The 14,613-nt window shown below is 34.4% G+C and overlaps 1 long non-coding RNA gene across 1 annotated transcript in view; it reads left to right on the top strand.

Annotated features, from left to right (window-relative positions):
- The window catches only part of LINC02006 (long intergenic non-protein coding RNA 2006), a 378,977-nt gene that overhangs the window by 218,096 nt on the left and 146,268 nt on the right, over window positions 1–14,613 (top strand). Inside the window, exon 5 of the long non-coding RNA NR_146713.1 lies at window positions 9,768–9,888. This is a non-coding gene — a long non-coding RNA (long intergenic non-protein coding RNA 2006). The remainder of the gene's footprint in view (window positions 1–9,767; window positions 9,889–14,613) is intronic.

The following is a 14,613-nucleotide window of genomic DNA, read 5'->3' as shown; positions in this document are numbered from 1 at the left end:
GGAGATATACCTAATGTTAAATGATGAGTTACTGGGTGCAGCACACCAACATGGCACATGTATACATATGTAACTAACCTGCACATTGTGCACATGTACCCTAAAACTTAAAGTATAATAAAAATAAAAAAACACAAATATCATAAAAAAAATCATGCAGCTATAAAAAAAAGAAAAAACAATCCTAAAATTTATATAAAACTGAAACCAAGCCCAAATAGCTAAACAAATGCTAAGCAAAAAGAACAAAGCTGGAAGCATAACATTATTTAACTTCAAATTATAATACAGGGCTATAGTAACCCAAAGAGTACAGTACTGGTATAAAAATGGACACATGAATCAATGAAATAGAGAACTCAAAAATAAAGCTACATATTTATAGCCAACTGATCTTTGACAATGTCAACAAGAACATATACTGGGGAAAGGGCACCCTTTTCAGTAAACCGTGCTGGGAAAATTGGTTTGCCATATGCAGAAGAATGAAATAGGACCCTTATCACTCACCGTATAAAAAAATCAACTCAATGTAGATTAAAGACTTAAATGTAAGACCCAAAACTATAAAAATACTAGAATAAAACCTAGGGAGAAACTTTTCTGGACGTTGGCTTAGGCAAAGAATTCGTGACTAAGACATCAAAAGCACAGGCAACAAAAGCAAAAATAGACAAATGGAACTTAATTATTTAACTAAAAACTTCTGCACAGCAAAAGAAATAATCAACAGAGTGAACAGACAACCTCCAAGAGGGAAGAAAATATTTGCAAACTATGCATTGAGAGGGGCTAATATCTAGAATTGATAAGTAACTCAAACAACTCAACAACAAAAATTAATCATATTAAAAATGGGTAAAGGACATGAATAGACATTTTTTGAAAGAAGATATACAAATGGTGAACAAGCATACACAAAATACTCAACATCAATCATCAGAGAACTGCCAACCAAATCACAATGAGATATCATCTTATACCAGTCAGAAAGGCTACTATTAACAAAAAATAACATGTTGATGAGGGTACAGAGGAAAGGGAAACCATATACTGTTGGTGGGAATGTAAATTTAGTACAACCTCTATGGAAAACAGTATCGATATTTCTCAAAGAACTAAAAATAGAACTACCAATCCAGCTATCTATCCAAAGGAAAAATAATCATTATATCAAAAAGATACCTAGACCTGTATGTTTATGGCAGAAGTATTCACAATAGCAAATAAATGGAATCAACCTAAGTGTCCATCAGTGGATGAATGGATAAACAAAATGTGGTATACATGAACAGCCGAATACTATTTAGCCATGAAAAAGAATGAAATCATGTATTTTGCAGCAACATGGATGTAAATGGAGGCCATTATCTTGAGTAAAATAATTCAGACATGAAAAGACAAACACCAGGTGTTTACACTTATGAGTAGGAGCTAAATAATGTGTACACATAAACGTAGGGTGTGGAATCATAGACAATGGCAACTGGTAAGGGTGAAGGGAGAGGAGGGGATAGACAATAAGTAATTACTTATTGGGTACAAGGTACATTATTAAGGTGATATTGAGCAGTGAATTATTTGTTGGCAAGGTCAGCTATTTAGACTTTTTTTTCTTCAAGAAAAAAATGTATTAGTTTGTGGAGCCCATAAGACAGTTTGCAAAGCCAGCTTAACCCGTATTCATCTGAAGTATAGTACTTCATGTGACTACCATAGAATAATTGACAAAATTGTTTCTAAAGTGGCAAAAATTTTACTAATTCCAGCTAGGAATACCAGTACTCATGGCCCTGTGTTGGAACTGTTTTGGCAAAGGAGTTGTATGTACATGTATGTGTTAGGCTTGATTAGATAAGCAATATGTGAATAGATGGTTGTGCCTGGATTAATAAGAGAAAGTGGGTTTTACTTCTCTTTGGTATCTATAAGAAAGCAAATCTTTACACTACCCTTTTGCAAATGCTTGGTCAAATCTAAGATGTCAACAATGAGTAGAGCAATGGGATAGGATCTGCTGGAAGAATTGCATTATATTTCCTCCTCCTGATACTCAAATATTCAAAAACATGAGTCATTCTTAAATTTATCGAGTATGAGTTACCTACACTGGCCTGATAAGGAATTACTTTAAAACCATTTTTAATTTAGCAACTATCTACTCAATTTCCTTGGCAAATACATGAATACCAATAATCAAAATGTCAAGGATTATATAAAGCTGATCAAGCTAAATGGACAAATGTTTGAAACAGGAAATTTATAGTCTCTTATTAACCACACATGGCAGTAATTAAAGTTCATTAAAAAATCTCTAGTCCCAGGGCAATAGTCTAAATCAGTGGTTGTCAAGTTTAGCGTACATCAGTATTATCTGGAGAGCGTATTAAAACACGGGCTGCTGGGACCCATATCCAGAGTTACTAATTCATAGGTCTGGGGTGGAGCCTGAAGATTTGCATTTCTAAATTTCCCAAGTGCTGCTGCTGTTGGTTATAAGCATCACATTTTGAGAACCACTGGGGTAATTTTTTCTCAATTATCCAAAAACATATCAGTAAAAACAATTTTCCTTTAGATTTACCAATTTTTTGTAATTTCATATAAAAGAATTATAGACAGAAAAAATTATGTAAACAAACATTCATTCTAAACTAAGCATTATTTCCCCAAATCACTTTTGTGTGATTAATCTTTCAAAATAACATATATGTAGTTTTTATTCTCAATTATCATTTTGTTTTATTCCTTAAATACTTCCTTTTATTTCTAAGGTAATAAGGATGCCAGATTAATTCTTTCTGCTTTACATAGAGCAAAATTAATCTTAAATATCTCAACTTGAGGCAATATATGATTATATCATCATATGAAGGAATTAAATTTCCTAAAGAAAAAGAAAATGTCTATGCATTTCAGTGCCATTTTCTCAGTTGATAACGGAGAGTAATGTCACTTTTTCCTTCAACACTGCATCACCACTTCATTGTATGAAACTGAAACGTTTGTGTTAGCTTAGTAGTTCTGTAGTAAAATCATTTGAGTCTCTAAAATACATGAACAAAATAAATCTGTAATCTTTAAAAAGTAAATTCATGAGAGTAACATTGTCACGTGTTTTTAAATGCATTTCTGGCCGGGCACCGTGGCTCACGCCTGTAATTCCCGCACTTTGGGAGGCCAAGGCGGGCAGATCACGAGGTCAGGAGATCGAGAACATCCTGGCTAACACAGTGAAACACGTCTGTACTAAAAATACAGAAAAATTAGCCGGGCGTGGCGGCGGGCGCCTGTAGCCCCAGCTACTCGGGAGGCTGAGGCAGGAGAATGGCGTGAACCTGGGAGGCGGAGCTTGCAGTGAGCCGAGATCGTGCCACTGCACTCCAGCCTGGGTGACAGAGCGAGACTTCGTCTCAGAAAAAATAAAAATAAAAATAAATAAAATAAATGCGTTTCCATGGAATGAAACTTTATTTTAGAAAATTCCATCAGAAAGCAATTTTGCATTCGTATATTTTAGCCTATTAACAAAAATCATTTTGACAATCATTCCATCTATACTTAGTTCCAATGTTCATTATTTAGTATGAATCTTTTATGCCTAACAGCTGTTGCTATATCTAAGCTGTTATTAGCTAGCATCTAGTTTAAACCCAAATTCCTTAGTGATTTCAGGTTTTCTACAATCTAAACATAATCCATTTGCTCATTATTATCTCTTCAACTAAATTTTGGTAAAAAATTTAGTTTATAGACCTTAAATTTTAGTTAGTTAGACCTTAAAATTTAGTTATAGACCTTCAAATTTTCCTGGTGTTTTCTTGCCTCTGAGCTTCAAGCCGAAATTCCTTGCTTCGTCCTTTCTTGCTGTGTAAATCCTACCCACCTACCTTCATAACGTCTTTTCTTATTAAATCAGCTGTCATTGGACACGTTATTTTCTACCACGTATTATTAGCTAACTTTTCCTGTATTAACAATAAATAACTACGATTGCATTATTATTACTTACCAGGACCTAAAAAACAAGTCACTTACCATAATCGTCAAAAGGATTTAGGTGCTATCACCATGTTAATTAATCAAGTTAATATTAAAGCTGAAGATCAGAGTTTTTACCAGTCACACGGCCATTAAGCAGCAGAGCTGAGATTTAATTCTACATCTCCATGTCTTGTAAAATCATGTACACATAATCAACCACTATATTACATTGTAAGGCAGCCTTCAAATTATAAATAGGTTATGATATTTTTAACATCTGGGAGTACTTAGCATAAAGAAGTGCTTACAATAACTTACACTTTGATTAAAATTCACCTTATTTAGTTGTATATTGGGAAGAGGTACCTATTTTCTCTTACACCTTAAAGCTCAAATCACGAAACCTCTTATTTTGCTTATGAGTCTAGTAATTTTTGTTTAAATTTTAAAAATTACTTTCACTTTGATAAATGCCTAATTAATTACTAAATTTGGCAGATTCATTTCCCCTAGATATTTAACAGCATTCATAAACAAGATTAATTTAATTTCTTTAGCTATTTCAAACTACAATTCAGATTTATCTGATTTTCTCAAGACTTTTTAACAACTAACCGGGCAGATCTGTCAATTTATATACCCACATCTTTTTCAGCATGGAAGCAATCCTTGTAAAGCTAATAAAGCAAAATGAAATTCAATAAGTTATAGTCCCCTAAGTGAATCTAACATGTTTAAGAGATTTATTGAGCAAAATCAATTCTTTTTTTTTTTTTTTTTTTTTTAGAAATAAGAAACTTCAAATTCTCCCTGTCTAGTTTTTGCTCTCGGGTGTATCATTCACTACCCTTATCTATTATTTTAACCATAATATCTTTCATAGATTTTGTTATATAATTTGAGCTGAGGAGACTCTGTATCACCAAACCACACTGCAATACATTTCATCAATCTTTTGTGAGATTTTGCCTTAAAGGAATTTGCAGCCTAAGCATTTCTTTCATATATTTAACAACTCATTTCTGTCTTTTCCTTAGCATATCTGCTAGTATTTGTCATGTTTACACAAAATTAATGCTCAAATGATCACAACTTGGCCATTGAAAGTCCCTTAAAGCTGACCCATTTGTTGCTTTATGGTAGCAAAATTTCATGGAACTATCTTGATTTTATTGTATAGAACCATTGAATCAGCTTTTCTCCAGAAGCTCTGATTGTTTTTAGTGAAGAATAGCAGAAGCAAACATTTGAGCACTGCAGGCAACTACCAAGTGGGGACTAATATTAGACTAGGTGGCACCAAGGATACTTCATGTTAACAACAGAGCTAGAGAAAGTAAATGTTTTACAATTTATGAGTTCACATCAACTTTTCCAACCTATTTTCAAATCATGTTCTATGTTTAAAACATACGTATTTTTTTTCTCTTTGGGGCTAGAATCTTCTCTATACATTCTTTTTACCAATTTAATATACCATGCTACTAAATGTCACATAAAACTACGTGTTTGACTTTAAAAATTGTCTAGCCTGTCTTATACTTTGACTTGTACTGACTGACATCAAGGACATCTCAACACGGTTGCAGTTACCTTTTTCTCTTTTTTATAACTCTTATGTTTCTCAAGCATCATTCTACAGGCACTTTATTGATAAGATAATTCAAACAAAGAGTTTGTAAATCAGTTGTTTTTAGCTTATAACCTATTTTTTCAAAAGAACTGTTTTACAAATGATAGTTAGATTCCCAGACACTCCATGAAAGTCTGCTCAACTGTAGCACTAAAACCATGAGCTTGAGTCCCAAGACACTAGGTTAGAGGAGAGAAGAGATGGAAGAGACCCTTTTTCTCCTTCTTCCAGGTGTAACAATGGTCTTGAACACAATTTTGGTAAAACAATAATGCTTAAGGCATTATTACGTTTCCAATCGTTTATTCATTTAGCCCATATTTGTTGAGTAATTCTTTTGATTAAACACTACAAACTCCTGGGGGCATAAAATTGAGAAGTCATATTCTTCATGCTCCAAAATCCTGAACTGTTAACACAGAGGTAAATTTCTGGCTGGCTAATACCCTTAAGTAGGTTGGGTGGATGAACCCAGTGCACTTGCATAGCATTGGCTTTGCACAGAAGCACTGATGCCTCCCCTAAAATAACAGGCAGGAAAAAAATGTATAAGATAGTTATGGGTACAGATCCCCTAATGTGGATAGATGTAGCAGATGGTAGAAGTTCTTTGTAATTGCTTCAATTACCAGTACAGTTGAAGATACACTGTGCTTTTAGTTTTTTTCAAAATAACATCATACAATATATACCAGACAGATTTTTAAACTTAACATATCAGGGATATTTTTTCATCATGATAATTACATAGCTCCAACATAATTATAAATGGTTGTATAATGTTCTGTGATTGGAAAATGTTACCTTTTGCCTAGCCAGTAAGGTTCTATATGGGTCATTTCCACTTTTTTATTTCGTTAACATTGAGACAATAAATATCTTTTTATAACTTTTTGTATATCTATATAATTACTCCCTTATGATAAACTAATTGATATTGAGAGGTTACCTATTTTACATATAGAGGTCGTTTACTTTAATGGATAAGCTCCTGCACTTACTAGCTATGTGAACTTGGACAAGATTTTAATCTCCTGTACCTTATTTCCCTTATTTCCAAAATAATTCTTACCTCATGGAAAAGTTTCTGTGATTACATTAGACCAAGGATAAGGTGTTGAGAATGAGAGTGATTATATCTTAGAGAGCTATTCTGATGATTAAATTAGCTTATATAAGTTTCTAAGGACAGTGCTTTTTGGATTATATTTTAGAATTTAGTATTTTATACATGCAAAATTGCATATGCTAATGTGTATTAGTATACATGTATGTATACACACACATATAAAATATATCACTCAGCTTAAAATATAGAACATTGTCAATATTGCATCCTCCTTTATATGCTCTCTTGACTGTATCTTCCTCTTTATCCCCCAGAATAAACCATTATCCTGAATTTTGAATTCAATATTTTAATTTTATTGGTTTTGTTTGTTTGTTTGTTTTCAGACAGAGTTTCGCTCTTGTTGCCCAGGCTGGAGTGCAATTGTGCGATCTCAGTCACTGCAACATCTGTCTCCCAGGTTCAAGCAATTCTCCTGCCTCAGCCTCCTGAGTAGCTGGTATTTCAGGAGCCCACCACCACGCCAGACTAATGTTTTGTATTTTTAGTAGAGGTGGAGTTCCACCATGTTGGCCAGGCTGGTCTCCTCCTGACTTCAGGTGATCCACTCGCCTCAGCCTCCCAAAGTGCTGGGCCTGAATTCAAAATTTTATTGCTTTCAACCATACATGTATTATACAAATACATGAATCCCCAAACCAATATTTTCATATTTTTAATTTTATATAAATGGAATGAAGCTCTTTGTATTCTACTGCTTTTATTACTTACTATTATATTTGTGAAATTCATCCATGTTGATACATGTAACTCTGCTTTATTTATTTTTCCTGCTCCATAGTATTCCCTTACAGGAATATACCACAGTTTACCCACATTTCTGTAGATAAATATTTTCATCCAATTTTGTTTTGTTTTTGCTATTAAAACAATGCTTGAATACACATTATCGTAAAGCCTCCTAAGGAATTTGCACAAGAGTATCTTTAGGACTCATACCTAGGAGTGTAATTGCTGGGAAGAGTGAATGCCTATCTCCAGCTTTTTTACATAATAGCCAATAGTTTTTCAGAGTGATAATAGCAATTTATGCTTCTATTGGCACTGTGTTAATTTGTATTACTCCCCCAAATTGCTAACAGTTAATATGGTTGAAATTTTAATTTCTGCAGACTTGAGGATAGAAATGATTCTTCATTTTGGACTTAATGTTTATTTCCATGAATAATGATAAAATTGAGATTCTTTTTGTTTTTTCTGTTTTCTGTGAAAGATCATTCATGTCTTTTTAAAAAATTGTGAGTACATAGTAGGTGTATATATTTATGCGGTATATGGGATATTTTATATAGGCCCAACTGTAACAAGCATATCAGAGTAAATGGGGTATCCATAACCTCAAGGATTTATCCTTTGTATTATAAACAATATTATGTTCTTTTAGTTATTTTTACATGTACGATTAAATTGTTATTGGCTATAGTTATCCTATTGTGCTATCAAATACTAGGTCTTATTTATTCATTGTAACTATTTTTTTAACCCATTACCATTTCTTACATCCCCTGTAACCTGTTCATTACCCTCCCCAGCAACTGGTAACGATCATTCTACTCTCTATGAGTTCAATTGTTTTAATTTTTAGCTCTCACAAATGAGTGAGAACATGTGAAGTTTGCCTTTCTGTGCCTGGCTTATTTCACTTAACAAAATTACTTCGAGTTCTATTCCTGTTGTTGCAGATGATAGGATCTCATTTTTTTAATGGCAACACACTACTCCATTGTGTATATGTACCACATTTTTATTATCTGCTCATCTGTTGATGGACACTTATGTTGCGTCCAAATCTTGGCTATTGTAAATAGTTCTGCAATAAACATGGCAGTGCAGATGTCTCTTTGATATACTGATTTCCTTTCTTTAAGGTATATACGTGGCAGTGGGATTGTTAGATACTATGGTAGCTCTATTTATAGATTTTTGAGGAATCCTCAAACTGTTCTCCATAGTGGTTGTATTAATTTACATTTCCACCAAGAGTGTATGAGGATTCCCTTTTCTCCATATCTTCACCAGCATTTGTTATTGCCCGTCTTCTAGATGAAAACCATTTTAACGGAGTGAGATGATATTTAGTTGTAGTTGATTTGCATTTCTCTGATGATCAGTGATACTGAGCATTTTTATATACCTGTTTGCCATTTTTATGTCTTCTGAGAAATGTCTATTCAGATCTTTTGCCCATTTTTAAATCACATTATTAGATATTTTTGTATAGAGTTGTTTGAGCTCCTTATATAGTCTTATTATTAATTCCTTGTGAGATGAGTAGTTTGTAAATACTTTTTCCCATTCTGTGGGTTGTCTCTTCACTTTGTTTCCTTTGTTGTGCAGATGATTTTTAACTTGATGTGATCCTGTTTGTCCAGTTTTGCTTTGGTTGCCTGTGCCTGTTGGGTATTGATCAAGAAATTTTTGCCCCCTCCAATGTCCTGGGGAGTTTTCCCAATGTTTTCTACTAGTAGTTTAATAATAGGAACTCTTAAATTTAAGTATTTAATACATTTTGATTTGCTTTTTGTATGTAGCGAAGGATACTCTAGTTTCATTCTCCTGCATATGGATATCCAGTGTACCCAGCACAGTATATTGAAGAGACTTTCCTTTCCCCAGTGTATGTTTTTGGGAGCTTTGTTGAAAATGGTTTCACTGTAGGTGTGTGGATTTTTCTTTGGGTTCACTCTTCTGTTTCTTGCTCTATGTGTCTGTTTTTATGCCAGTACCATGCTGTGTTGGTTACTATAGCTCTGTAGTATAGTTTGAAGTCAGGTAATGTGATTCCTCCAGTTTTGTTGTTTTTTTTTTCTCAGGATAGCTTTGGCTAATCTGGTTCTTTTGTAGCTCCATATAAATTTTAGGATTTTTTTTTCTTTTTCTGTGAAGAATATCTTTGGTATTTTGATAAGGATTGCATTGAAACTGTAGATCACTCTGTGTAGTATGGACATTTTAACAATATTCATTCTTCCAATCCACAAGCATGGATTATCTTTCCTTTTTTTTTTTTTTTTTCCTTAGATGGAATCTCGCTCTGTCACCAGGCTGGAGTGCAGTGGCATGATCTCGGCTCACTGCAACCTCTGCTTCCAGGGTTCAAGCGATTCTGCTGCCTCAGCCTCCCAAGCAGCTGGGACTACAGGTATGCGCAATCATGCCCAGCTAATTTTTGTATTTTTAGTAGAGACACGGTTTCACCACGTTGGCCAGGTTGGTTTCGGTCTCTTGACCTCATGATCTGCCTGTCTTGGCCTCCCAAAGTGCTGGGATTTCAGGCGTGAGCCACCATGCCTGGCCATATCTTTTCGGTTTTTTTTTTTTTTTTTTTGTGCCCTCTTCAATTTCTGTCAACAATATTTTATAGTTTTCATTGTAAAGCTCTTTCACTTTTTTGGTTAATTCCTAGATATTTAATTTTATTCATAGCTACTATGTATAGAATTATTTTCTTGATTTCTTTTTCAGATTGTTTCCTATTGGCATATAAAAATCCTGATAATTTTTGTATGCCAATTTTGTATCCTACAACTTTACTAAATTTGTTTATTGGCTCTAATGGTTCTTTGGTGGAGTCTAGTTTTTTCCAAATGTAAGATCACCTCATCTACAAACAAAGGTAATTTGACTTCTTCCTTTCCAATTTGGATGCCCTTTATTTCTTTCTCTTGTCTGATTGTTCTAGGTAGGACTTCCAGTACTATGTTGAATAACAGTGTGGTAAAAGTAGGCATTCTTGTTACGTTCCAGATTTTAAAAGAAAGGCTTTCAGTTTTTTGCCATTCAATATGTTATTAGCTATGAGTCTGTCATGTATGGCTTTTATTATGTTGAGGTATGTTTTTTTCTATACCCAGTTTTTTAAGGGTTTTTATCATGAAGAAATGTTGAATTTTTATCAAATGCCTCTACATCATCAGTTGAAATGATCATATGGTTTTTGTTCTTCATTCTGTTGATATAATATATCACATTGATTGACTTGCATACATTGAACCATATTTGCATCCCTGGGATAAATGCCACTTGGTCATGATGAATGATCTTTATGATGTGTTGTTGAATTTAATTTGCTAGTGTTTTGTACAGGATTATTGCATAAATGTTTATTAGGGATATTGTCCTGTGGTTTTCTTTTCATTTTTCTTTCTTTTTATGTTTTGATTTGTCTTTGTCTGGTTTTGGTAATTCTTCACCTTGTAGAATTAGTTTGGAAGTAAGTATTCCTTCCTCTTCTATTATTTGGAAGTTTGAGTAAAATTGGTATTAGTTCTTTAAATGTTTGGTAAAATTTAGCAATGCAGCCAACAAGTCTTGGGCTTTTCCTTGCTGACAGACTTTTTATCGTGGCTTTGATTTTGTTGCTTGTTAATGGTCTGCTCAGGTTTTGGATTTCTTCTTGGTTCTGTCTTTGTAGATTGTATGTGTCAAGAAATTTATCCATTTCTTCAGGTTTTCTAATTTATTAGCTTATAGTTGCTCATAGTAGCTTCTAATGATCTTTTGAATTTATGTGGTATCAGTTGTAATGTCTCCTTTTTCATGTCTGATTTTGTTTATTTGGGTCTTCACCCTATTTCTTAGTCTAGCTAAATGTTATTCAATTTTGTTTATCTCTTCAAAAAGCCAACTTTTATTTCATTAATGTTTTATATTTTTTCTTCATTTCAATTTTATGTATTTCTGCTCTGATCTTTATTATTTATTTTCTTCTACTAAGTTTGGTTTTGGTTTGCTCTTGCATTTCTAGTTCTGTAAGATGTATCATTAGGTTGTGTATTTGAAGTTTTTCTCCTTTTTAGATGTAGACACTTATAGCTATAGACTTCCCTCTTAGTACCGCTTTCACTGTATCCCATAGGTTTTGATATGTTGTGTTTTCATTATCATTTGTTTCAAGAAATTTTTCAATTTCTTTCTTAGTCTGTTTATCAACCCACTGCCAGCATAAAACCAATGTACATTTAAGGCCCAAGAGCTCTTCTGTCATGTTATGGTGAATGCTGAAAGGCATGGGACTCACGCTTCAGGACACTGGGCTCCCCTCTAGCCTAGGGTAGGTCCAGAAATGCCATCTAAAAGCCAAAGTCTGGAATCACAGACTCCAAGAGCCTACTTGGTGACCAAGCTGATACCTAAGCTGCAAGACAAGGTCCCGTTTCTTCTTCCCTCCCCTCTTCTCAAACAGAATGATTCTCTCCTGATAGACACCATAGCTCTGATTATTCTGGGTCACACCTGAAGTCAGTACAGCTCTAAGTCTCACCCAAGGTGAATACTACCTAGCTACCACTGCTGATAATTCAGGGCAAAGAGCTCTTTAGTCAGGAGGTAATGAATCTTGCCAGTACTGAGTCCTTCCTTCCTTCTCTTCAGGGCACAAGGTTCCCATTTGGCTCAGGATGTGACTAGAAATTCTGTGTGGGAGATAAGGCCTGGAACTGGCCCTGACAACTCTGTCTAGTGCCCTGTCCTACTGTGGTTGAGCTGATATCCAAGTGGCAAGACAAAGTCCCCTTTACTGTCTCTTCTCCTCTCCTCAAACAGAAATAAAGGGTCTCTTTTGGAGCTGCAAACTGTACTGCCTAGGGCTGCAGAGGGATGAGGCAAGTATTCCCTTAGCTGCCCCAGTTGGTGTCTCACTATGTCACCTGCCCACCAAGTCCACTGGCTCTGAGCCCAGCAAAATACTGGCCTTTCCTAGGAGTTGCAGTCATTGTGTCCTGGACTGCCTTTCAAGTTTATTTAGAACCCCAGAGCATTTTAATCCTCAGCTGTGAGGCTTGCTGAAACTCAAGTTTGACTGCTGAGATGGGCAATTCCCCTCTGGCTAGGGCTAGTCTAAATGGTACCTCCATGGGCATCAGCTGAGTTCTGTCTAATGTTGGCAGCATCGAGTTCCAATACAAGGTCCCACAAACACTGTGCTCTGCCTCCCCTAAGTGCACATATTCTCTCTCTGTGCCACTTGGCCACTGCCAGGGAGTTGGGGAGGATTGGCATCAGCAATTCAAGACTGTCTTTTCTACCCTCTTCAGTACGTCTTTAAGTAATATGAAGTTAAAACCAGGTATCATGATTACTTACCTGATACTTGGCTCTTATGAAAGGACTTTTTCGGCCAGGCGTGGTGGCTCACACCTGTAATCCCAGCACTTTTGGAGGCTGAGATGGGTAGATCACGAGGTCAGGAGATGGAGACAAGCTTGGCCAAGATGGTGAAACCCCGTATCTACTAAAAATATAAAAATTAGCTGGGTGCAGTGGCATGTGCCTTGTAGTCCCAGCTACTTGGGAGGCTGGGGCAGGAGAATAGCTTGAACCTGGGAGGCGGAGGTTGCAGTGAGCTGAGATCATGTCACTGCCCTCCAGCCTGGGTGACAGAGCGAAAGTCCATCTCAAAAAAAAAAGAAAGTGTTTTTTGTGTAGATAGTTGTCAAATTTGGTGTTCCTGCAGGAGACTTCTAGAAGTTCCTCAGTGGAGGCCTCTATTTGGCCATGTTGTTTTGCTTCCTCCAGTCATTCATGACTTAAGCTCATTTTTCTGTTTATTTTCTCTTTTTGATTTGTATGATTTCTTTATATAATAGGTATACTAATCTTTTAAACACAATTATGTGTGTTTAAAATATATTCTCAGTTTTTAAGTCATATTTTCACTTTTTCCATCAGGTTTTTTGATTGACAAGCATTCATTTAATGACATCAAATTTAGCAATATTTTATTTTATGGTTATTGGTTAGTGTTTTTTGTAAGTACTCCTCTCCTATGTAGAGGTCATTAAAGTATACTCTTTAAGTTATAAAGCTTTGCCTTTTACATTAGTTCTTTAATCCACCTGGAATTATTTTTTTGCATATGTTTATAAGATAGAAATTTATTTTTTAAATTATTCTACTTTAATAGGTAGGTGGTATAATGTAATTTATTGAAAGGTCTTGTATTTTCCTACTGATCTTCTCTCATATCTTAAGTTTTTTATATGCATGAAACTATGAAACTATTTCTCTTTTTTGAAAAAGAGACCAATGGAATAGAAGAGTCCTTGTGCCAATATCATATTGTCTGAAGTTGTACAGTTAATAGGTTTAACTATCTGGTAATACAAATTCTTTACCTCCTTCTTTTATAGGAATATTTTGAATATTTATGACCTTCATTCTTCCATATAAGTTTTTAAATTAGCTTGTCAGATTATCATGAAACAATGTCAGAATTTTTACTGAAATAGTCTCTATAGATTTATTAATGAAAAATTGGTTTCTCAATAATATGAACTCTACCTATTTCACTGATGCTCAAAACAGTTAATAAGCATCGGGGCATACACATCAACCTGTCCATTGATATCAGAACAATAAGGGTTAATTTTGCATATGAGGAACCAGCATGGCCATCAAAAGGCATACTGGATGAATATCATCCCTGTTCCTATCTATAGTTAAGGTAAACTTTTGGAGCCCTTGAAAATAGCTTTTGTGCTTGAATAAGATTACTCATACCTTTGTATTGATTTTCAATTTATTTAAAAACTCAGTTAATCCCTAATTTTGTAGCTATATCTTACACATATGGCTCTTTTTATGTATCTAGTAATGTTAATCTAAAGCTTTTGATTAATGTGTGACTCCTCCTATAAACTTAATCAAATTCATAGCAGCATTCTAAGTACATATATAAATTTTATATAGTGTATTTATTTTTAAGTAATCTTAATGTAAAACTTAACAATAAAAAATGCTGAGTATTTAAACCAAATTAAAATATCTAAACTGATTACTCAATAATATAATTGCATTAGACTTATAATGTTGACCTGCTACTCTGATAAAACAAATTTTTTAAATATCACAAATATATAAAACACAA

Source organism: Homo sapiens, chromosome 3 (assembly GCF_000001405.40).
Source record: "Homo sapiens chromosome 3, GRCh38.p14 Primary Assembly".
In the NCBI taxonomy this organism is placed as follows: Eukaryota; Metazoa; Chordata; class Mammalia; order Primates; family Hominidae; genus Homo; species Homo sapiens.
Note: the sequence above shows the minus strand (reverse complement) of the source record. Positions and strands in the feature narration are given on the sequence as shown.